Source organism: Homo sapiens, chromosome 11, assembly GCF_000001405.40.
Source record: "Homo sapiens chromosome 11, GRCh38.p14 Primary Assembly".
Classification (NCBI taxonomy): domain Eukaryota; kingdom Metazoa; phylum Chordata; class Mammalia; order Primates; family Hominidae; genus Homo; species Homo sapiens.
Genome location: NC_000011.10, coordinates 77975769 through 78001066, shown reverse-complemented (window position 1 = coordinate 78001066; position 25298 = coordinate 77975769). Strand labels below are relative to the sequence as shown.

Here is a 25298-nt window from a genome sequence, read left to right as displayed (position 1 = left end):
GTCTCTACTAAAAATACAAACATTAGCCAGGTGTGGTGGCAGGCATCTGTAATCCCAGCTACTCTGGAGGCTGAGGTAGGGGAATCTCTTGAACCCGGGAGGCGGAGGTTGCAGTGGCTGAGATTGCACCATTGCACTCCAGCCAGGGCAACAAGAGCAAGACTCTGTCTCAAACAACAACAACAACAACAACAACAACAAAACCCAAAATAGCAATGATAGTAATCATGTTCAAAAGGCAATCTCTGCTTCATTTGTATGAATATATGAAACTTCTTAGATCTGTTGGGACTAACCAAAGAAAATTATAGAGTCAGAAGAGAAAATCTTAAAACCGTATGCTAAACGTAACTGTCAACATAATCTAAAGGAAAAACACAAAGAAAGATGTAAACCTTTGTAGATTACCCTCATGAAGATATCCCAGTTCATAGCACTGCATCAGGTTTTCAGTTCTACATTTTTTTCTCTTAGGGTACCTGTTTTTGTTGTTGTTGTTATTTGTTTGTTTTTAATTCTCTACTTATTTCCCTCATCTTCTGCTGCCTTCTCCCAACCCCCACTCATTATCTGCTCTTTACTGCTGTGCTTAGTGTCCTGGGAGGCTGATTGTTAGGTCCTTCTGCATACCCAGGGCCCATTCCTGGTTGGCCAGAGACTTGGCAAGTTCAAGAGTGGAAGATGGGTGATAAGAAAGCCTGGGAAACTGGTATAGGTGTAAATGTCTGTGCTCCTTGTGAATGTCCACCAGAGGGCACCCATTCTAGAAGAGGGTCTCAAAAATCAAGGGCACAATGATCCAACCTGTGGATGTCAGCCAGCCTCTTTCCCCAGCAGCTCAGTGCTTGCTCGATGGAGACATGAACAAAAATCCCTGCCATAATGGCAGGGATAGAGGCTATTCATGGGCTGCACAGTACAGACTTCCTCTCACCAAAGCTAATCTAGCCACTGATGTATGTCCAACCTGCCAATAGTAGAGAGAGACCAACACTAAGCCCCTGATATGGTATTATTCTCAGAGGGTACCAGGCACTTCTTGGTGGGAGGTTTATTGCACTGCAAATCAGTTAGCAAACTGCTGGGAAAAATTCTGGTGTTTCTGAGCAAATGGCATCAACAGCTTTGTTTGAGGATGTTTGCAAAGCTGCTTAGGAGCAGGGAGCAGATTTACTTATATTCCAGGGTAATAAAGCTAATATGGTCCTCAAATCCTGGAAACATTTCAGAGTGATAAAAAAAAATGTCCCCCATGGGGTGGAAGGCAGATTTGTTTCCTGACCAGTATAATAAAGTCTGCCTCCAGAGGACAAGTTTCTCAGCAGTCCTCTTTCAAGAATGGGAAGTTCCTAAGCTCAGTGTTCTCAGCTGTTACAGATCTATTGTGTGCATGGCATTCACCTGTATAACTGCCATGGTGCTTGGTTGGCAAGGAGAACTGAAACAAATTTGGAGTTCATGCCACCTGCTATGCTGTGAATAATCAACTGCCTAAATCATTTGGGCTTGTTGTCTCCTTACCAGATGAAGTGTGGCAACTTAACTTAGCGCTTAGGGAGTGCCTGACTGTGTGACAATTTCCTACCCCCAAATGTAATGACTTAAGACTACAGCTATTAATTATTTCTCACAGGCCTACAGATTGGGCAGTTCTGGTCTCAGCTGAGATCACGCATACATCTGTAGTCAGCTGGTGGATTAGCTGGGGCGGAGCCGGTCTCAGATGGCTTCAGGTGGGTCAATTTGCCTGTGTTCCATGTGGTCACTCACTCTTCAGCAGGCCAGGTTGGATTTGCTGTCATGGCAATGGTGGGGGTCCAAAATCAAACAAAAGGTCTGGGAAATTGTATGTGGGTGGACCTTGAGGCTTAGACTCAAAATTAGCACGCTGTCACTTCTACCACATTGTATTGGCCTGTCACAAGGCCAGCACAAATTCAAAGGGTGATAATATAGATTTCATCTCTTAATAAAAGCACCTTCAAAGTCACACTTCAAGGGGTATACATACCGAGAGGGGGAGATTTGGGGCTTTTTTTGCAATCATTCAACTACACACTGGATCCTTTCCATCATGGAAGGAGCAGTGATTTGTCCTCACAGGAATAGATTCATATTCCAAATTCAGATTTGACTTCCCTGCCTGCAATATTTCTGCCAGCTCCATCATCTATGGATGCCTCATTCATTATCATAGTACTCCACACATTGCTTCTGATTAAGGAGCTTATTTTATGCTGAGAAAATTGTAGTGAAGAAACTTCTTGGTCTTGCCAGGAACCCCATCATTCAGATGTAGGTGCTATAATAAAGCAGAATAATAACCTTTTGGAGATTCAGTTATAGCGCTAGTCAAGAGCCAACACATTGTGAGTTTGGGCCGCTGTTTGTGGCATATGCCTTATACCAACAGCTAAAATATAGTACTGCTTCTCCCACAGTTAGAACATGGGTCTGGTTATCAAAGGGTGGAGATAGGAGCAGTTCCTCTCTCTTTTACACCTAATAATTCATTTATGAATTCTTGGGCTCAGTAGGTTTGGAAGACTTACTCCCCAAGGGAGGAACAGTTGCCCTAGAGAACATAGTCATTGTTCATTACATTGGACATGTAATGAGACTGTCCCCAGACCACTGGGGCTCTTGTTCTGAACCAGCAGGTAGAGAAGAAGTTACTAAGTTGGGCTGCTGTTATGCAAGAGAGAGAGAAGACTGAAGCCTCACGGATTCATTCACAGGTGAACCTTAATGTATTTTCATAAGTAATAATAAAAGTCAAAGGAAAATGGCATCAATACAATAAAGACGGTTTTTCAATTCAACATTAAAGAATGTGTGTTCTTGTTTCTATACCAATCTGGCTCATTGAGAAGTTGGCTATACCAACTTCTCAAATTTATTTATTTATAATTTAAAAAAAATTTATATAGCCAGGCGTGGTGGCTCATGCCTGTAATCCCAGCACTTTGGGAGGCCGAGGTGGGCAGATCACTTGAGGTCAGGAGTTTGAGACCAGCCTCGGCAACATGGTGAGACCCTGTCTCTACTAAAAATGCAAAAAGATTAGCTGGGTGTGGTGGCGCATGCCTGTAATCTCAGCTACTCATGAGGCTGAGGCAGGAGAATCGCTTGAACCTCAGAGATCGAGGCTACAGGGAGCCACGATTGTGCCACTGCACTGCAGCCTGGGTGACAGAGATAAACTCCATATAAATTTTTTTTTTTTAAAATATAGAGACAGGGTCTCTTTCTGTTGCACTGACTGGTCTGGAACTCCTGAGCTCAAGGGATCCTCCCACCTACCACCTCCCAAAGTACTGGGATTACAGGCATGAGGCACCATGCCTGGCCTCAACTTTATTTTTATTGCTTCTTCTGTTCCCTGCATGCACTTAACTTTCAACATGAACTGAAGTTCCTTTGGTTTTCGGAATGCACCAAACTCCTTCCTAAAGCCATTTATTTATTTATTTATTTATTTATTTATTATTTTGAGACAGGGTCTCATTCTGTCACCCAGGCTGGAGTGCAGTGGTGCGATCTCAGCTACTGCAATCTCTGCCAAGCGGGCTCAAGCAATCTTCCTACCTCAGCCTCCCGAGTAGCTGGCACTACAGGCATATGCCACCACGCCCAGCTAATTTTTTGTATTTTTGGTAGAGATAGGTTTTCACCATGTTGCCCAGGCTGGTCTCCAACTCCTGAGCTCAAGCTATCCTCTCACCTTGGTCTTCCAAAGTGCTGGGATTACAGGTGTGAGCCACCGCACCTGGCCGCCATGTATTTAATAACGATGATAATACTCTGTATCATTGATGCTATGATGCACATTTAATGTCTCCGAAATCAGGAGATGTTGGCCAATCGCTCATATGTATACTGAGTCGTAGCAGTTCATGGTGTCATCGCTTCGACTGAGCTCTGTGCAATTTTGGAATTACATGTGTTATTTTAAATTACTATTAAATATATCTCCAAATAGATTACCCTATAATTTGGCATTAAAAAGTTCTTATGTGCACAGGAAGACATGGAAACAGCAGTGCGAGGTAAGATACAAATCTATGTCTAAATAAGTTAAAAAGAGCTGTTTCTGTAAGTATACATAACAAATCTAAGCAATTAGAAACCATTGTATTTAATTTCAGCATTTCTTTTCTTAACATAATAAATAAAATATTGATTTTACAATTGCTGGCAGCTTAGATTTGATAGAATATGATAATGGTAATAATAGCAGCTAAGCTTTATTAAAGGTACTGTTTGCTAAATGTTTTTCATTTCCCTTGACATATTTGTATATCTTATCTCGGCGGTCTGGGATGCCTTTGTTTCTGGAAAAACTCATTCTTTTAAAGCTGCATTAGAAATAGTTTCCTTTTTTTTTCTTTTTTTTTTCTTGAGACAGAGTCTCGCTCTGTTGCTCAGGCTGGAGTACAGAGGCCCGATCTCGGCGCACTGCAGCCGCTGCCACCTGGGTTCAAACGATTCTCCTGCTTCAGCCTCCCGTGTAGCTAGGATTACAGTCACCCACCCCGACGCCCGGCTAGTTTTTGTATTTTTAGGAGAGACGGGGTTTCACCATGTTGGCCAGGCTGGTCTCGAACTCCCGACCTCAGGTGATCCGCCTGCCTCGGCCTCCCAAAGTGTTGGGATTATAGGGGTGAGCCACCGCGCCCAGCCTTTTTTTTTTTTTTTTTTTTTTTTGGAGACAGGGTCTCACTCCGTTGCCCAGGCTGGAGTGCAGTGGCTGGATCTCGGCTCACTGCAACCTCCACATCCCAGGCCCAAGCGATTTTCCCGCCTCAGCCTCCAGAGTAGCTGGGACTTCAGGCGTGGGCCACCATCATGCCCAGCTAAATTTTGTATTTTTAAAGTAGATTTCGCCATGTTGCCCAGGCTGGTCTCAAAACTTCTGAACTAGGTGATCTGCCCGCCTCGGCCTCTCAAAGTGCTGGGATTATAGGCGTGAGCCACCACTCCCAGTTTCCTCTAATTTTAGGAAAGCCTTCCCTGAGGCACTCTGAAGAAATTAGGTCTGTTTGAACCACATTCATTCCCGTTACCCAGCACATTTCAGTTGCACTGTCACCATCAGTTTGGGTGTCTGTCTTCTCAGATTGTAGGACCTTGAGGATAAATACTATCTTTTGTTTATTTTTGGGTCCTCTGTATCCACCTCAGCCTCCTGCTTTTTTTTTTTTAAACTATCCCACATTAATTCTTTTTTTTTTTTTTTGATAACGGAGTCTCGCTCAGTCGCCCAGGCTGGAGTGCAGTGGCGCGATCTCGGCTCACTGCAACCTCCGCTTCCCATGTTCAAGTGATTCTTCTGCCTCAACCTCCCAAGAAACTGGGATTACAGGCGTGTGCCACCATGCCCCGACTAATTTTTGTATTTTTAGTAGAGACGGGGTTTCCCCATGTTGGCCAGGCTGGTCTCGAACTCCTGACCTCAAGTGATCCATCCGCCTCGGCCTGCCAAAGTATTGGGATTACAGGCATGAGCCACCGCGCCTGGCCCACATTCTTTTGAAAGACCAAAATAATGAACAGCTAGTTTCATGTAGGTTGTAAAACTTGACCTTGGATTTACTGACACTAACATGTGCACTACACCTTACAGTCCGTAAAATGTTCCTGCATTATTTCACTCCATTGTCACATCTTTGTCAGGTTAGTTATTATAAATGCATTTGTAGTTGAGCCATTTGCTCAAGAACCAGAGCTGTAGTCTGTAGCTTTGTTGCTTTATCCTTGGTCTCAGAAGTCTTCTACTGTACTATAGCTATCAGAGCAGGGATTGATGCCTTAAAGGATGGCAGCTTTTGCAAAACTGGAATAAGGAAGTATGGAAAGGCACCCCAAAACAAGAGAGGTGGCGCACAGCTTGAACAAAGGCAGTGCTCAGGAAACCTACAAACAGCATCGTGTACAGCAAAGGATGATGGGAAAGTCAGCCGAGCCTCTGAGTTTTTTCACGAGTCGTAAACCCCTTACAGAGCTCCGGGTTTTGCCTCTAGCTCTGGAGCACCCCGCCTCTGCCCTTTAACCTGTACTTCCTCCCTCCCTCCCTTCGCGCCGCGCCGCGCTAGTCTCTTAGCCACTCCGAGGCCACCAACCAGCCTCCCAAAGCTCCCATTGGGTTGCCCACCCTTTCAGTCTCAGCTCCTCCCGCCAGAGGCCCCGCCTCCCACAAGCGAAGCTCTTATTTCCGTTCTTCCGGCGTAGGCCGCCAAATCAGTCCGTACAGTGGCGAGGCAGTCGAGCAACAGGAAGCGGTCGCTCTTTCCCCAAATCCCACTGCCTTGTGGGATCTCGGCAAGTCATCCACCCACCCCCCGCGCCTACGCAAGTTTTCCGGATCCGTCCACCCCCGCCTCCCTCCTAGTGTACGGAAGCTGAGAGGGCCCGCGGGTAGGCATGGCGGCGCACCTTAAGAAGCGGGTTTATGAGGAATTCACGAAAGTGGTTCAGGTAAGCTCTGGCGGGAAAGATCCAGAACCGATCCGGACCAGGGTAGATTATCCAAATCCCAGGCACTTTGCCGGAACAGAAGAGGCTCCATACGCCCGTGTTAAGTGCTGACTTGTTGATAATCTCTGATATTGCAAGTTAGTGGGCGTGTTAGTTTGCAGCCGCTGTTGTCATTAATATGTGAAGTCTGACAGGATTTTAAAAAAATTATTAGGAGAAACAGTGTTTTTTAATTTACGAAACTGTCTTATCCGTTATTTCATTTTATTCTCTCACACAACTTTGCTCCATCGCGTTACATTAGCATCCTCGTTTTCCAGATGTGGACATTGAGCCTTCCGGAGGGGTACGAGGATACAGCCAGTTAGCAGCAGAGCCCCTTCTAGCCTCCCCGCACCCCCGTTCCAAAAAAAAACCTCCCAGGGACCAGTTGGAATATACACAAGGTTCTAAGGGGCTGAAAGAAGGGTCTATAGAATTCCTTCAGGCGCAGTCTAAGCAGGCGGGGGTCACAGACTTCATAGGGGAAGAGCTCTCTATTGGTAGAACAGCTCACCTAGGAAGGAGGGCAGTACCTTCCTCACCATGAAGTTGTGACAGGTGGGCAGAGTCCCTGTCGGGAGTCAGTGATGCTCCATGTGTCTCCACGTAGATGTTGCTAGGGTTGATCCTAAATCATCCTGATGTCCTATTTCTCAGATATTAATGTGTATACAAATTACCTGGGGACGTTGTTCAAATGTCGATTCTATTTGATAAGTCAAGCAGAGGAGGTGAGGCAAGATTCTGCATTCCTGACATGCCCCCAAATTTACACCAGTGCATTGGTTGCATTCTTAGATCCTTAGACTTGTAGAGTGGCAAGGCTTAGAGCATCCAGCAGGATACTGATCCTTAAACATTACATGGATTCATTCATCCAGCATTAAAATATGTTAATACAAATACAAAATATGTCAATACATAATATAAAATTTACAATTTTAACAATTTTAAGTATAAAGTTCAGTGGCATTAAGAACATTAGCACTGTTGCACAATGTGATTTCCTCTCTTCCCAACATTCTGTTGTTCCCATTTCCCAAGACTGCTCAGCCCTCTTCCACCCATCCTCACATGACCAGATATGCCATGTGTTCTTGTGTTTGCATATCTCAAAACTCTTGCACTGGTTGTCTCTTCTCACAGAATACATGCCATTCTTCCCTTTCTTTTTGTTCTCCACCCAGTGGACTTAACATTTGTGCTTCAAGACCCAAATGAAACCTCAGCGAGAGCTTAGTCTCTTCTTCACCTGTTTCTGTAGCATTCTGTGGTACTAATCTATTTGTACTTTTTGTTCAGTGCTGCTGTCATTACCGGTGTACCTATCTTCCCACCAGTCGGAGGTCCTTGATGGCAGAGCTAATGCCTGGCTCATCTCCGTGTCCTGGAGATGGACAATAGGGCCTGGCTCACTAAAGTGTTATTGGTGGTTGAATGACAGTTGATATTGCTTGTCCTCTCCCTTATATAATACTTAGGGAAAAAATTCCTAGCTTTTGACCTAACTACAGCTTCGATAAGACTGAAAACTGAGTTTGAGAGGACTAGGATAGAAATGGCTAAGAATTTTAAGGGAAGAGCTAATTTCTTCACTTAATTTTTCATCAGTTGTTAACATAAAGTGATTAAATGAGATCTTAGTGCTTCTGTTCTTTTTTCTCCGCTGAAAAGATGAGGAGGGAGAACTGATATGTGCCTAGCACTTACATATACGTATAATAAAGTTATGTTTAATAACAGATTTATCGACTAGCTCTGTGATAATAAAGTATTGGTATGCCCTCCTATAGAAGAAGGCCTTCCCCAGCTAGTAAGTTGTAATTGAATACAAATTCCTCTGACTCCAAAGTCCTTATTCTTTTTATCATGTCATACTGTGTTCTTGTCTAGAATAATTCTACTCTCTTTTCTATAGAAATGTGAATTTGTAAGGAGGTGATTGCTCAGTACATAAAAACGCACCATTAGGTGGTAAGGAAATTTATTTTATTTTATTATTATTTTTTAACAGAGACAGGATTTCACCATGTTGCCCAGGCTGGTCTCGAACTCCTGGGCTCAAGGGATCCTCCTGCCTCAGCCTCCCAAAGTGCTAGGATTTCAGGTGTAAGCCACTACGCCCATCGGATATTTGTTTCCTTTTCTTCTGTTTTGAGATGGAGTTTCGCTCTTTTCGCCCAAACTGGTGTGCAGTTGCGCAATCCTAGCTCACTGCAACTTCTGCCTCCTGGGTTCACGCAATCCTCAGCCTCCTGCATAGCTGGGACTGCAGGCATACACCACCACCCCCAGCTAATTTTTGTGTTTTTAGTAGAGATGGGGTTTTGCCATGTTGGCCAGGCTGGTCTTGAACTCCTGGCCTCAAGTGATCCGCCTGCCTAAGCCTCTCAAAGTGCTGGGATTACAGGCATGAGCCACCATGCCATGTCTGATATTTGTTTTCTAATAAAGAATGGACTTTGGGAGACTGAAGCAGAGGGATCACTTGAGGCCAGAAGTTCGAAACCAGCCTGGGTAACATGGCAAAACCTGTCTCTACTAGAAATACAAAAATTAGCCATGTGTGGTGGCACACACCTGTAATTCCAGCTAGTTGGGAGTCAGGGAGGTGAATCGCTTGAACGTAGTAGGTGGAGGTGGCACACACCTATAATCCCAGCATGTTGGGTGTCAGTCAGAGAATCATTTGAACCTAGGAGGTGGAGATTGCAGCAAGCCAAGATTGCACCATTGCACTCCTGCCTGGGCGACAGTGTCTTGCTCTGTCTCAAAAAAATGGAGTAGATCCTTTGTGTGACCTCTAAACCCAAAGGCTACCACAATCCTCAGAGATAGGTAGAGCAAAATGTTAGTGTAAGGCTGGGCACCGTGGCTCATGCTTGTAATCCCAGCACTTTGGGAGGCTGAGGTGCCAGGATTGCTTGAGCCCAGGAGTTAAGACCAGCCTGGGCAACATAGAGAGACTCCATCTCTAAGAAAAAAAAAAAGTATACCTATTTTACAGAGACATAAACTGAGACTCGGAGAAATTAAATGACTTGCCTAAAGTCATAGGAACTGGTAAAGGCAAAATTGAGACTCATGGCCTTGTCACCAACCCGGTACTCTTTCTGGTTTATAATACTGTATTTTCCTAAGTCCATCAGCTAAATATATTATTTGGTATAATGGAAAATCATTTCCACCAAATGAGGCAAAGTTAAATTTGCAGATTCTGTGTTTTCGATTTTCTCTACCCCTTGCAGCCACAGGAGGAAATTGCTACTAAGAAACTCCGACTAACAAAACCAAGTAAATCTGCAGCACTCCACATAGATCTGTGTAAAGCTACCTCCCCAGCAGATGCTTTGCAATACTTGCTCCAGTTTGCCAGGAAGCCTGTCGAGGCGGAAAGCGTAGAGGGAGTAGTCAGGATTCTCTTGGAACATTATTACAAGGTAAGAAAATCTTGAGGATCTGATGGGAGTATATCATGGGAGTTGTATCATGTCTGCAGAATGGTTAATATTACAAATAAATAGGGTATTCATTAGGAAGCTTTTATTGAGTGTCTTCCAAGTGCTAGGTACTATGGATACCGAGATAAAAAAGATACAGATCTTGACCTCAGAAAGTTATACTGTGTATAGTAGATGGAAACAAGACATGTCAATGATAAGGTGCATCATACTGCTGAAGTTACTGTGAGTGCAGTATGTGCAGAGTACAGTGGAAGCACAAAAGAGGAGTAAATATCAATCATGACCCATTCATCTCTGGAATGTGGTCCTGCTGTTCCTTTCCTAATTCATGGCCCTCATATCTAATTGCAGTGGCCCTCTTTTTTAATTAAAAATACATTTTTTTTTTTTTTTTTTTGGAGACAGAGTCTCGCTCTGTTGCCCATGCTGGAGTGCAGTAGTGCAATCTTGGCTCGCTGCAACCTCTGCCTCCTGGGTTCAAGCGATTCTCCTGCCTCAGCCTCCTTAGTAGCTGGGATTACAGGCACGTGCCACCACACCCTGCTAATTTTTGTATTTTTAGTAGAGACGGGGTTTTGCCATGTTGGCCAGGCTGGTCTCGAACTCCTGACTTTAAGTGATGCAGCCACCTTGGCCTCCCAAAGTGTTAGGATTACAGGCGTGAGCCACTGCGTCTGGCCAAAAAAACTGTTTTTGAGACAGAGGCTCACTGTCACCCAGCCTAGAGTTTAGTGGCATCATCATAGGTCACTGTAGCCTGGAACTCCTGGGCTTAAGTGATTCTCCTGGCTCAGCCTTCCACGTAGGTGGGACTGCAGACGTGCCACTACTCCAGGCTAAGTTTTGCATTTTTTTTTTTTTTTTTTTTGAGACTTGGTCTGTCACTCAGCCTGGAGTATAGTGGTGGCACAATCTTGGCTCACTGCAACCTCCGTCTCTTTGGTTTAAGTGATTCTCCTGCGTCAGCCTCCAGAGTGGCTAGGACCGCAGGTGTGTGACACCACACCCAGCTAATTTTTTTTGTATTTTTAGTAGAGGTGGGGTTTTGCTGTGTTGGCCAGGCTGGTCTTGTACTCCTGACCTCAAGTGATCCATGCACCCTGGCCTCCCAAAGTGCTGGGATTGCAAGCGTGAGCTACCATTCCCAGCCCAAAAATCATTATTATTATTACTATTATTATTTTTGAGATGGGGTCTTGCTTTCTCGCCCAGGCGGGAGTGCAGTGGTGCTATCACGGCTCACTGTACCCTCGACCTCCGAGGCTCAATTGATCCTCCTGCCTCAGCCTTCTGAGTAGCTGGGACTACAGGCATGTGCAGCATGCCTGGCTAATTTTTGTATTTTTTTTTTTTTTTTGTAGAGACAGGGCTTTGCTATGTTGCACAGGCTGATCTCGAATTCCTGGGCTCAAGCAATCCACCCTCCTTGGGCTTCCAAATTGCTGAGATTACAGGTGTGAACCACCACACTCAGCCCCCAAATTGTTAAGCTTATGGAAAAGTAGATAAAATACTATAGTGACCTACCAAATATCCATTCCTAGAATTTAACAGTTATTAGTATTTTGCCAAATTTGCTCTATTTTTTCGCTGAATTTTATTTTATTTTGTTATTATTTTTTTTGAGATGAGTCTCACTCTGTTGCCCAGGCTGGAGTGTAATAGCACTCCTGGGTTCAAGCAGTTCTCCTGCCTCAGCCTCCCAAGTAGCTGGGACTACAGGAGTGCGCCATCACGCTCAGCTAATTCTGTATTTTTAGTAGAGATGGGGTTTCACCATGTTGGCCAGGCTAGTCTCGAATTCCAGACCTCGGGTGATCCACCTGCCTCGGCCTCCCAAAGTGCTGGGATTACAGGTGTGAGCCACCGCGCCCAGCCTTGTTTTGTTGAATTTTTAAAAAGATATGTCATTTTTTTCTAATTATTTCATTACATATCTATTAAAAAGGGATACCTTTTTGTTGTTTTCTTTTTTTTTCTCACTGCTATGAGAAAGTAGAGGGACTTTTTATTTTTTAACATAGCCACCTAACCCTAATGAATAAAGTTAAGTAATTCTTTAATGTCATCTAAGAATTAGTTGATATTTAGATTTCTGTAGTTGTTCTCCCAGTACCTTTTTATAGTTGATGTATTCAAATCAAAATGCAAACCAGGTCCCCACATGGCATTCAGTCTTTTCAAAAATCTACAACAGTTACTATTTTGGTGACATTGATTTGATGAAGAAACTGAGACAGTTCTTTTGTAAAATGTCTTGTTTTCTGAATTCATTTACTTCTTTAAGGATTAACTTGTTCCTCTGTTCTCTGTATTTACTATGAACTGAAAGTTAGATCTATAGGCTTTGTTAGATTTAAGTTAAGCATATTTTTGACAATTTTAAGACTATGTTATAAATGGTGACTTGTACTTCATATTGCAGCTATCAGCATGCAAATGTCACCGTTACATTGAGGTCTTCCTTTACCCTTCTGTTTCATATCGAAACTGCCTATCCCCACCCCGCACTTCCTAGTCCCCTTCCTTGATTTTGTTTTCTCCATAGTAATTACCATCTTCTAATATTCTGTATAATTTCTTGTTAATTATGTTCCTTGTCCATTTCCCCATGCAGGAACATAAGCTTCCCTTGAGCAGGGATTTTTATGTTTTTTAATTGTTGTTTCTACAGAATCAAGAACAGTGCCTGGTAAAATAAATATTTGTTGAATGAATAAATGAATTAATTGATGCTTTTGTGATACATTTTACTCAACAAATATATATCAGACTTTGTTCTGGGCACTGGACGGTGTCCATTAGCACAATTGTTAAGTCTTATGCGTTGCAATTGTTTGCCATATGTGTCTATCTCCTTCAGACTTTGAGCTCCGTAAATTCAGAGGCTGCAGATCCATTAGTCTCTATCCCAGTGCCTGGCAGGTTCCTAGGAACATTGAAGGGACATTATAAATGTTTCACTTATGTTTTACGTGAATAAAATCAGGCTTTCTTTTTTTGTTGTTCTTTTCTTTAAAAAATTTTTTAAAAAATCGTATCTATCTATCTAGAGACTGGGTTATGAGACTGGCTAATTTTTATATTTTTGATAGAGATGAGGTTTCACCATGTTACCAAGGTTGGTCTCAAACTCCTGGGCTCAAGCGATTCACCTACCTCAGCCTCCCAAAGTGCTGGGATTACAGGCATGAACCACTGTGCCTGGCATCTTTTTGAGTGTTGCTCTGTTGCCCAATCTAGAGTGCAATGGCGTGATCACTGCCCACTGAAGTCTGGACTCCCAGGCTCAAGCCATCCTCCCACCTCAGCCTCCTGAGGAGCTGGGACCACAGGCACATGCCACCACTCCCGGCTAATTTTTTCTTTTTAATTTTTTTTGTAGAGATGGAGTCTCTCTGTGTTGCCCAGGCTGGTCGCGAATTCCTGAGCTCAAGCAACCCTCCTGCTTGGCCCTCCCAAAGGATTGGGATTACAGACGTGAGCTACCACATCTGACCAAAATCAGGATTTCTGTTCTCAAGAAGTTTTCGATCTCTCAGTGATCTATTTTCCGTTAGTCTTTTTCTTAGCAATATCTACCATTATTATTATATTAAAGATCTGTTACCAATAATCATCTATAATAATACTTCTTAGAGCAGTTAACATTATATTGCTTGTTAGAGTTTGAAAGCACTTTCCATATGTAATATTTTATTTAATCCTGGTGACAGCACCATTGTTATCTCTAAATTCCAGATATGGAACTAAGCTTAGAGCTGTTTAGTATCCAAGGTCACCCAGCTAGTAAATGGAAGGTATGGATTTGAACTTGGGTTTTTTTTTTAAAAAACCTTTTGTTATGGAACATTTCAGATATATACTATGTAAGTAAAGAGAATAGTTTAATTAATTCCCATGTACCCATTACCTGGCTTCAAAAATTATCATTTTGTGGCCAAACTTGTTTCATTTTCCCTCTTCCCCAATCCACTTCTACTTCTTTACCCTCACCTTCTCCACCAGATTCTTATGAAAATAAATTCCTGGCATCATATTATTTTAATCATAAATTTTGATTTATATCTTTAAGTGGTGAAGACTCTTTTTTTATTATTATACTTTAGGTTCTAGGGCACATGTGCACAACGTGCAGGTTTGTTACATGTGTATACATGTGCCATGTTGGCTTGCTGCACCCATTAACTCATCATTTACTTTAGGTATTTCTCCTAATGCTATCCCTCCCCCAGCCCCCCACTCCCCAACAGGCCCCGGTGTGTGATGTTTCCCGCCCTGTGTCCAAGTGTTCTCACTGTTCAATTCCCACCTATGAGTGAGAACATGCGGTGTTTGGTTTTCTGTCCTTGTGATAGTTTGCTGAGAAGGATGGTTTTCAGCTTCATCCATTTCCCTGCGAAGGACATGAACGCATCCTTTTTTATGGCTGCATAGTATTCCATGGTGTATATGTGCCACATTTTCTTAATCCAGTCTATCGTTGGTGGACATTTGGGTTACTTCCAAGTCTTTGCTCTTGTGAATAGTGCCGCAATAAACATACGTGCACATGTATCTTTATAGTAGCATGATTTATAATCCTTTGGGTATATACCCAGTAATGGGATTGCTGGGTCAAATGGTATTTCTAGTTCTAGATCCTTGAGGAATTGCCGCACTCTCTTCCACAATGGTTGAACTAATTTACACTCCCAACAGTGTAAAAGTGTTCCTATTTCTCCACATCCTCTCCAGCATCTGTTGTTGCCTGACTTTTTAATGATTGCCATTCTAACTGATGTGAGATGGTATCTCATTGTGGTTTTGATTTGCATTTCTCTGATGACCAGTGATGGTGAGCATTTTTTCATGTGTCTGTTGGCTGCATAAATGTGGCGAAGACTCTTAAAAAACATAATCTTTTGTCATGTCTAAAAGCAAAATTTAACTCAGGTGTTCTGATGTCAGATCTCAAGCACTTTAACCAGTCCATGCTGCATGCATTAATCAAGTGGACCCTAGCTCCTAAGGAAATGAGGAGGGATGCCAGATGGACCCAGTTCTAGATTGTTGACCATAGTGTTTTTTACCCTTTCTTCTGTTCTATCCAGAAATGTGGTATTTTATGTTAATATTTTAGTGGATAAAACTACTCTGGCTTCTGCTTTTTCCTACTTTTTTTTTGTGATCAGGCATTAGTATCTGAACTTATTTCACATGATTGATTCTTCACTTATGCTACTGTGCTAGTAGCTATGGAGGATGCAGAGCTGTGAGATATGTTCTTTGTCCTTTAGGGGCTAGCAGTGTAGTCGGCAGACCATATATGTAGTATGTAGATAGTAAGTGCTAAAGTTTTCCATTTGCTTATTTTTTCATTTGCTCAGCATGTCTGAATACTTACTCTGTGCCAGGCTTTGTGCTTCATGTTGGTAATAGAGATGTAGATGATGTAATCCCTGATCTGAGTCTTGAGTAAATAAGAAATGAATTAATAACAATACAGTGTTTCAGGTCTTATGAAATCTGGGGTAGGTTATGATATGGCCTCAAAGAAGGGGGCGATTAATTATTGGAAGCAGGGATCCAGAAATGCATTATAGAGTGGTAGCGATGCTTGAGAAAAGTCCTAGAAATAGATTTTGGCCAGTTGGAAGACAGGGGGAAAGACATTTTAGTTGTGAGCAACCGTGAACATGGGCATGGAGATGTGAGACAGGCTATCACATTAGAAGAAATGCAGCTAGTTTGGCTGGTGCAGATTTTAGGTTGGGAGCTCATCAAGAGATAAGACCAGAAGATTTGGAAGGCATCTGATTCTAAAGGGCCTTGTATTCTACCTTGTCAGTTTTTGTTTTAGAAATGTCACTCTGAGGGGAAGTATGGAGGATAAAGGAATTGGATGGACTGGAGTTAGAGTGACCAATTAGAAGACTGTAAGTTTGGGGAAAGGTGATGAAAGCCTGAACCAAGACAGTTTTAATGGTCAGAAGAAACAATTATTAGAGAAGGCTTCCCTGGAGGTAATTCTGTTTTTAGCTCAGGTGTGAAGGAGATCATTTATGTGTCATAGTAGAAGGAGTGCTAAGGGATTATTTCAGAAAGTAAAAGAACTTGAGTAAAGTATCCAAATGGATAAGGAATGTCACTAGGTCAGATGCTCTCTTATCTGCTTTTTTTTTTTTTTCATTTACATTTATTTTCTTTTCCCCCCCTTTTTTCCCTTTTTTTTCCTAACAAGGTCTCACTCCAGGCTGGAGTGCAGTGGTGCTATCATGGTTCACTGAAACCTCCACCTCCCAGGCTTATGCAATCCTCTCACCTCAGCCTCCTAAGTAGCTGGAACTATAGGCATGTGCCACCATGCCTGGCTAATCATTTCTTAATTGTGGTAACAATTAAAATTTATTATCTTAACCATTTTAAGTGTGCAGTTCATGTGTGTTAAGTACATTCATATTGTTATGCAGCCATCACCACCATCCATCTCCAGAACTCTTTTCATCTTGTAAAACTGAAACTCTTTCCCCATTAAACAGTAATCCTCCATCACCCCCACCTCCAGCCCCTGGCAACCACCATCTACCTTTTTTTTTTTTTCATTTTTTGACACAGAGTCTCACTCTGTCACCCAGGCTGGAGTGCAGTGGCGTGATCTCAGCTCACTGCAACTTCTGCCTCCTGTGTTCAAGTGATTCTCCTGCCTCGGCCTCCCGAGTAGCTGGGACTATAGGCGTGCACCACCATGCCTGCCTAATTTTTGTATTTTTGGTAGAGACAGGGTTTTGCCATGTTGGTCAGTCTGGTCTCAAACTTCCTGACGTAGGGTGATCTGCCTGCCTTGGCCTCCCAAGGTGTTGGGATTACAGATGTGAGCCACTGTGCCCGGTCTCATTCTACATTTTGTCTCCGTGATTTCAACTGCTCTAAGTACCTCATATAAGTGGAATTATAAAGTATTTGTCTTTTTGTGCCTGGCTTTTTTCACTTAGCATAATATCCTCTAGGTTTATCCATGTGTTAGGCTATGTCAGAATTTCCTTCTTTTTTAAGGCTAAATAATATTCCATTATGTGTATATACCATATTTTGCTTATCTTTTCATTTGCCAATGGATACTTGCATTGCTTCCACATTTTAGCTGTTGTGAATAATGCTGCTATGAACATATTTGTCCAAATATTTCTTCAAGACCCTGCTTTAAATTTTTTTGAGTATATACCCAAAAGTGGAATTGCTGGATCATATGTAATTCTATTATTAATTTTTTGAGGAGCCACCATACTGTTTTCCTACACTTGATCTTAGCCAAAAGGCCCAGAAGCGATTTCCATCATACTGTTTTCCACAGTGGCTTTGCTGTTTTACATCCCCACCAGCAGGTCACAAAGATTCTAATTTCTCTACATCCTCGCCAACACTTGTTTTCTGTTTTTTGATAGTAGCCATCTTAACGAGTATGAGATGGTGTCTCATTGTAGTTTTGATTTGCATTTCTGTAATGATTAGTGATGTTGAGCCTCTTTTCATGTGTTTATTTGGCCATTTGTATATCTTCTTTGGAGAAATGTCTATTCAAGTTCTTTGCCCAGTTTTGATTTGGGTTGTTTCTCTTGTTCAGTTTTGGAATTGTTAATATATTCTGTTACTAATTTCAAATCAAGAATCTAACTTTACAACTTAAAGAACTAGAAGAAGACTGGGGCATGGTGACTCACACGTGTAATCCCAGCACTTTGGGAGGCCTAGGCAGGAGCCCAGGAGTTCAAAACCAAACCGGCAACATAGTGAGACCCTGTCTCTATTATTTAACAAAACAAAACTAGAAAAACAGCAAACTAAACCCAAACTTAGTAGAAGGAAGAAAATAATAAAGATCAAGGAACTGTTATTTGACTGCTTACTATATGCCCATTTTTGTGCTAGTAATTTTCCTCTCAGTAGCCCTCTGAGGTTATTACCCCCATTTCACAGATAAGGCTCAGAGAGGTTAATTGTTTAAGACATACAGCTGTTGTGTAGTGAATCCAGGCTTCACACCTACATCTGGCTAATTTCAAAGCCCTTTCTCTTTCTGCTTCACTTCACACCTTAAGGTAAGTTCCCAAGAAAGTGACTTTTCTAAAGTTATGTGCATAATAAGTGGCATAGCATGCCAGGATTTTAGATCTTCCAACGCTGTATCTATTGCCCCTTCTCCTGCTTTAGGCCTCCTTATTGTGCCTGGTGACCTCCTTAGAAACTGAATATAGGAGGCAGGGAGTTGGTCTTATTTGAAAAGCACCTTATCCTTTGAGCATACACTTAAGTAATTTTGTCTTTAGTATAGAAAGATGATCTATTCTCAGCACTGGTTAGGTACTTTTTTTCCTCTCATTTCACATATATTTATTGATCTTTTCAGTGTCAGGTATTGTGCTATATTCTTGAGATATGGCAGTGAACAAGAGAGCATTCCTGTTTGTCTTTGGAGGAAATTTCTCACCACAGGAATTTTGGTGCCCATTAGAGACCACCTCCCTCTCTCTAAGCTAAAACAGCCAGACTATTTCTTTGTCAGTCTCCCCTGCAGCTGGGGCCCAGGCACAAGACTTACACTCAGACAGTCACACTTGCCTCCTCCAGACTTCTAATCAGGATCTGGTGATTCAAAAAAGCAGGTAGGGCTGAGCGTGGTGGCTCACACCTGTAATTCCAGCATTTTGGGAAGCCAAGGCAGGAGGATTGCTTGAGCTCAGGAGTTTGAGACCAACTTGGGCAACAAAGCAAAAGCTCATCTCTACTAAAAATTAAAAAAAAGTAGCCAGGTGTGGTAGCATGTATCTGTAGTCCCAGCTACTTGGGAGGCTGAGGTTGGAGGTTCACTTGAGCTCAGGAGGTCAAGGCTCTAGTTAGCCATGATGGCGCCACTGCACTCTGACCTGGGAGACAGTGAGACCCTGTTTCAAAAAAAAAAAAAAAAAAAGACAGGTAGAATGAAAGATTCTTTCTGGTGATAGCAGTGGTAGCTGCAACACTCACTTTCCAGGGACTCCAAAAGCAGTGGTACTGGCAGCAATGTTGTATACCCAGTTGTTGGTGCAAGTTGCTCTGACTTGTGTCTAACATGACTACTCAGTGGAGGTCAGGTGCTTTTAATGCCAGTGGCACGTTTTTTATTAGAAGATAATGACATCAGAATGGCATAGAAAAGTTCTCATTCACTTTGCAGTATTTGGATGTAATGTATCAACTGAGAAAGCTGTCTCCCCGGCAGAGGTTGCATTGAGCCAAGATCACGCACTGCACTCCAGGCTGGGCAACAGATTAAAACTCCATCTCAAAAATAAATAAATAAATAAATAAATAAATAAATAAATAAAAGAAAGCTGTCTCTCCAGAAGTATATAAAATTAATTTTTCAGAAATGATGCCATAGAATACTTGGATCATTGAATCTCTTTTGGGATGTTAGTTTTCCATGTTCCTGTTTGTTGGTTAGCTAAGTGTAAAGCATCAAAGTGACAATTGCTTCTTTTTTTCCAGGAGAATGATCCATCTGTGAGACTGAAAATTGCATCATTGTTGGGTTTATTATCAAAGACAGCAGGATTTTCACCAGACTGCATTATGGATGATGCCATCAACATCCTGCAGAATGAAAGTAAGTTGCAATTTAAAAGCTCTATAGTCAGAGCAGAAATATTTAGTTCTTTTTGTATAGAATTTAGGACAAAATTTTGTTGTGTTGATTGTTATTGAAGAGGAATTTGAGGATAATTTAATGAAACCATATATACATATTTACATTAGAGTAGAAATACAGTTTTATCTCTTAATAGCTGTCATTTATTGGCCAGGTACCTACCATATATTTGAGGTAGTTTACATATGATATAGACATTATTGTCCCTTTTTTTTTTTTTTTTTTTGCTTGTTTGTTTTTTGTTTTGAGGCAGGGCCTTGATATATTGAGCAGCCTGACTCCAGGCTGGAGTCCAGAAGTCCAAACATGTTAATGACCCTTGCTATATATTACCCTATTGCTTTCTAAAAGGATTATTTCAGCTTACACTGAAACCTGTAACTGAACATACAGTACTCGTTCCATCAAGAAACTTTTTTTTTTTTTAACGGAGTCTCGCTCTGTCTCCCAGGCTGGAGTGCAGTGGCACGATCTCGGCTCACTGCAAGCTCTGCCTCCCGGGTTCACGTCATTCTCCTGCCTCAGCCTCCCAAGTAGCTGGGACTACAGGTGCCTGCCACCACGCCCTGGCTGATTTTTTTTGTATTTTTAGTAGAGACAGGGTTTCACCATGTTAGCCATGATGGTCTTGATCTCCTGACCTTGTGATCCACCCACTTCAGCCTCCCAAAGTGCTGGAATTACAGGCGTGAGCCACTGTGCCCGGCCAAGACACATTTTTAAAAGCACTAAAACAGGCTAGGCACAGGTTAGGCTAGGCCTGTAATACCAAAACTTTGGGAGGTCGAGGTGGGAGGATCCCTTGAGCCCAGGAATTTGAGACCAGTCTGGGCAACATAATTAGATCTTGTCTCTACAAAATATTAAAAAATTAGCCAAACATGGTTGCTCACACCTTTATCCCAGCTGCTTGGGAGGCTAAAATGTGAGGACTTCTTGGGCCTAGGAGATTGAGGCTGCAGTGAGCCATGATCATGCCACTGCATTTCAGCCTGGGTGACAGAGCGAGACGCTGTCTCAAAAAATAAATTAAAATAAAAAAATAAATACAAGCACCAAAACAATAGCATTGCTTCAGTACAGAAGTATCATTTTTTCCCATGGAAAATTCTTATGGTAGCTACATGAGAGGTGACATTTTAAGGATAACTAGGTGTTCAGTGGGGAGTGGGGTCAAGAATGGAGTCAGGTGTGGGGGAAGGCATTCTACTTAGAGAAGTTAGCCTGAGCAAAGATAGGGGGCATGTAATTATAAGTAGTTGGAAAAAAGAGTGTTAAAGGAGACCTGAAAAAGATGAAGCTAGAAAGATAGGCAAGGGTAGACAACATGGAAGGCCTGGTATGTATGTATTATATGCCTTCTAGGATATTTGGACTTTATCTTGAAGGCAATGGAAAACTTTTTTTTTTTTCTGTTTCTTCTTTTTTTTTTTTTTTTTGAGATGGAGTCTTGCTCTGTCGCCTAGGCTGGAGTGCAGTGGAGCGATCTCGGCTCACTGCAACCTCCGCCTCCCGGGTTCAAGCGATTCTCCTGCCTCAGCCTCCTGAGTAGCTGGGATTACAGGCACGTGCCACCATGCCTGGCTATTTTTTGTGTTTTTAGTAGAGATGGTGTTTCACCATGTTGGTCAGGCTGGTCTCGAATTCCTGACCTCATGATCTGCCCGCCTCAGCCTCCCAAAGTGCTGGGATTACAGGCATAAGCCACCACCGTGCCTGGCCTTTTTTTTTTTTTTCTGTTTCTTAGTGTGAAAAAACTCTTGAATCAGTCAAGCACTAAACATTTTTGGAGCACACTATGTATATAGAACTGTACTCTATCCCGTGGAGGACTCAGACATTTAAACATGATCCCTTTAGGAACTTAGCTTTTAGTTGAGGGCATGAAGGATCACACAGTAGAACCCAGTTGACAAAAGTCTGTTTTTTTTTCTGTTTTTTTAGGACTGGGTCTCGCTCTGTTGCCCAGGCTGGAGTGCTGTGGCGCGATTACGGCTCACTGCTGCCTTGATCTCTGAGGCTCAAGCAGTCCTCCTACCTCGGCCTCCTAAGTAGCTGAGACTCTGGGCGCACACCACCTGGCTGACTCATTTTTTCAGATTTATTTTTGTAGAAACGGAGTCTCCCTATGTTGCCCAGGCTCGTCTTGAACTCCTGGGCTCAAGGGATTCTCCTGCCTAGGCTTCTCAAAGTGCTGGGATTACAGTTGTGAGTCACTGCGCCTAGCCAATCTACATTCTTTACCCAAGTAAATTAGTTTATATAGTTACCCCTTTCGAAATTCTACAAGCCAACTTTCTATCTCCCTCTCTAGAGTCTCATCAAGTCCTAGCTCAACTGCTGGATACTTTGCTTGCAATTGGCACTAAGCTACCAGAGAATCAAGCTATCCAAATGCGATTAGTTGATGTGGCCTGCAAGGTAAGAGTATAAAATCTATTCAGATCCATCCTAAACTGGTAACTGAGGACTGCTAAGGACCATTAATGGTTTTAGGAGCTGCCTTATTTTTTTCATCTCTTGGTGTTGGATTAGGAATAAAGTTAAGTACACTTGTTATAAAGTGTATTTCGTCATCCTTTCAAAACAAATGAAAATAATTACAGTACATAGTTACTGTGTATATTGTGCCTAATAATGCACTCTGCTTGTTATGGTGCTTTGTATTCAGTTTTTCATTTGGTCCTCACAATCCTTCAAGTAAGTACCGTTATTTCTCTTTTACAAAGGTGAAAATTAAGATTTATGGAGTCTGATTTGTCTAAGTTTGCACAGCTAGGAGGTTGCAGTACCAGGGTATAAACTGTATTTTTTCTGACCCCAAACTTGTTTTGTTTTTATTATGCCTTGTTGCTTCAATAAACAGACCAACTATACACAAGTAAATGTATGGGAAAAGTTTTGTACGTTCTTTTTTTCTGATTTTTAAATACATGTATTAATACATTAATTGTGCCTTTTGATTTAATTTGGAGGTTAATTAGCCTCTTTGTGTATACACAGCAACCCCTAGAACCCTGTAGAATTGATTTTACTTTGGATCTTTTTGATAACTTTGAGAATATAAAAAAGTCAAATGCATTTGAATTGTGTTAGAGTATTATATTCTTGAAATTAGAAAGCTATCTCAGAGATGCAGGAAAGATTACTTGATTTATCTTAAAACAACAGGCATACATAAAACCAAAAACACTTTGACAAGTACAATACTAAAAGCTTAAATAGGGCCAGGTGCGGTGGCTCACACCTATAATCCCAGCACTTTGGGAGGCAGAGGTGGGCGGATCATTTGACATCAGGAGTTTGAAACCAGCCTGACCAACATGGTGAAACCCCATCTCTACTAAAAATACAAAAAAAATTAGCCGGGCACGGTGATGCCTGCCTGTAATCCCAGCTACTAGGGAGGCTGAGGCAGGAGAATCGCTTGAACCTGCAAGACGGAGGTTATGTGAGTGGAGATTGAGCCACTGCACTCCAGTCTGGGTGATAGAGTGAGACTCTGTCTTTAAAAAAAAAAACAAAAAAACAAAAAAAACAGCTTAAATGGAAAAAACTAGGGATTATGTGTGTGGGAGAGTAAGTACGTCTCCCCTGTGAGAGGAAATATATATCTGTGAAGTTTGCTTCTGAGAGTTGTCATAATGAATGGGTTGTGATATCTGCAGTAACTGTTTCTTAAATCTGCTTTAAATATATTTTTAACTATAAGATTTTATATTATATACTTAAATATATTTTTTATTATAATAATTTGTACTCATAGAAAATTCGGAAAGATACTGAAAACTGTAAAGAAAAATGCATTCATAATTCAGTACCCAAAGGGAATCATTATTTGTCTTTTGATATATGGCTTTCTGATTTTTTTTCTGTATGCAAATCATTTGCCATTTTTTTTCTTTAAATACATTGCTGTAATCATATAATTTTGCTCCTTTTTTGCTAACATAAGTATTTTTCTTGTATGTGTTTTATAAACATAATTTGTAATGGCTGTGTGATATTGTGATATAATTTTGCTCCTTTTTTGCTAACATAAGTATTTTTCTTGTATGTGTTTTATAAATATAATTTGTAATAGCTGTGTGATATTGTGTCCAATAATTAAACCATACTTTTTACCTAACTATTCACCTATTACTGAATTTACATTGTAGCCATTTATTTAATTGGAAATAATACTGCAGGGCATATTGTTAGTCTAAAATATTTTCCGTATTTAAAATTATTTCTGAAACACAGACTATCAAAATAGAATTACTAAATTACTAATTGAAAACATTTAGAATTTATTTATTTTTATTTTTATTTTATTTTATTCTTTTTATTTCTTTTTTATTATACTTTAAGTTTTAGGGTACATGTGCACAACGTGCAGGTTAGTTACATATGTATACATGTGCCATGTTGGTGTGCTGTACCCATCAACTCGTAATTTAACATTAGGTATATCTCCAAATGCTATCCCTCCCCCCTTCCCCCACCCCACAACAGGCCCTGGTGTGTGATGTTCCCCTTCCTGTGTCCATGTGTTCTCATTGTTCAGGTCCCACCTATGAGTGAGAACATGTGGTGTTTGGTTTTTTGTCCTTGCAATAGTTTGCTGAGAATGATGGTTTCCAGCTTCATCCATGTCCCTACAAAGGACATGAACTCATCATTTTTTATGGCTGCATAGGATTCCATGGTGTATATGTGCCATATTTTCTTAATCCAGTCTATCATTGTTGGACATTTGGGTTGGTTCCAAGTCTTTGCTATTGTGAATAGTGCCACAATAAACATACATGTGCATGTGTCTTTATAGCATCATGATTTATAATCCTTTGGGTATATACCCAGTAATGGGATTGCTGGGTCAAATGGTATTTCTAGTTCTAGATCCCTGAGAAGAATAGAGTCAGGGTCTCATTGTGTTGCCTAGGCTGGTCTCGAACTCCTGGGCTCAAGTGTTCCTCCAACTTTGACCTCCTGAAGTGCTGGGATCACAGGCATGAGCCACAGTGCCTGGCCTAGACTTTTTTAAAGGCTGTGTTGTTTATTTTTTTGAAAAAAAGACGAAGGTCTTGCTATGTTGCCCGAGATTACGTGTGTGAACTACTGTGCCCAGCTAAGGCTCTTAATACTTTTTGTCAAATTGCTTTCCAAAGTGTTCCAGTTTATATGCCCACAAGCAGTATATGAGAGTTCCTAGTTTCACTGCATTATTCTAGCATTAGATATTAATGTTTAAAAATCAAAGATAAACCTGTTAATTTGGTATGTGGAAAATGATACTTCATTTTTAAAAAATCTCTTTTTTGAAAAGACTAATGAGGTTTCTTTTTCATATGTTTTTCCTTTATTTGTATTTCCTCTCATGTGAATGAACTTTTTATGTCCTTTGCCAGTTAAGCATATGGAGTTTGTGTGTGTGTGTTTTTTTTAAATCGTTTGTGGAGGTTCCTTTTTTTTTTTTGAGATAGAGTCTCGCTCTGTCACCCAGGCTGGAGTGCAGTGACGTGATCTCGGCTCACTGACACCTCTGCCTCCCGGGTTCAGGCAATTCTCCTGCCTCAGCCTCCCGAGTAGCTGGGACTACAGGTGCGTGCCACCACGCCCAGCTAATTTTTGTATTTTTAGTAGAGACGGGGTTTCACCATGTT

General features: G+C 41.6%; 1 protein-coding gene across 7 annotated transcripts in view, besides 3 other annotated features; it reads left to right on the top strand.

Moving 5' to 3' along the window:
- Positions 3057 to 3257: a silencer, noted in NCBI's record as "peak1367 fragment used in MPRA reporter construct". NCBI's record gives its function as "represses an SCP1 promoter by STARR-seq MPRAs in K562 erythroleukemia cells {active_cell/tissue: K562}" and the evidence as "EXISTENCE:reporter gene assay evidence [ECO:0000049][PMID:32103011]".
- Positions 6015 to 6084: a silencer, noted in NCBI's record as "silent region_3804". NCBI's record gives its function as "represses an Ori minimal core promoter by ATAC-STARR-seq in GM12878 lymphoblastoid cells {active_cell/tissue: GM12878}" and the evidence as "EXISTENCE:reporter gene assay evidence [ECO:0000049][PMID:35858748]".
- Positions 6285 to 6484: an enhancer, noted in NCBI's record as "active region_5312". NCBI's record gives its function as "activates an Ori minimal core promoter by ATAC-STARR-seq in GM12878 lymphoblastoid cells {active_cell/tissue: GM12878}" and the evidence as "EXISTENCE:reporter gene assay evidence [ECO:0000049][PMID:35858748]".
- INTS4 (integrator complex subunit 4) overlaps positions 6399 to 25298 on the top strand; it is a 120307-nt gene continuing 101407 nt past the window's right edge. For all 7 annotated transcript variants that reach the window (XR_002957208.2, XR_001748036.3, XM_017018560.3 and 4 more), the window contains exons 1-4: positions 6399 to 6477; positions 9768 to 9959; positions 19491 to 19608; positions 21965 to 22071. Coding sequence is in view for 5 of the 7 variants with exons in the window: in XM_017018560.3 (XP_016874049.1) it covers positions 6424 to 6477; positions 9768 to 9959; positions 19491 to 19608; positions 21965 to 22071 (471 nt within the window). In the remaining 2 variants the exon portion in view is untranslated. The remainder of the gene's footprint in view (positions 6478 to 9767; positions 9960 to 19490; positions 19609 to 21964; positions 22072 to 25298) is intronic.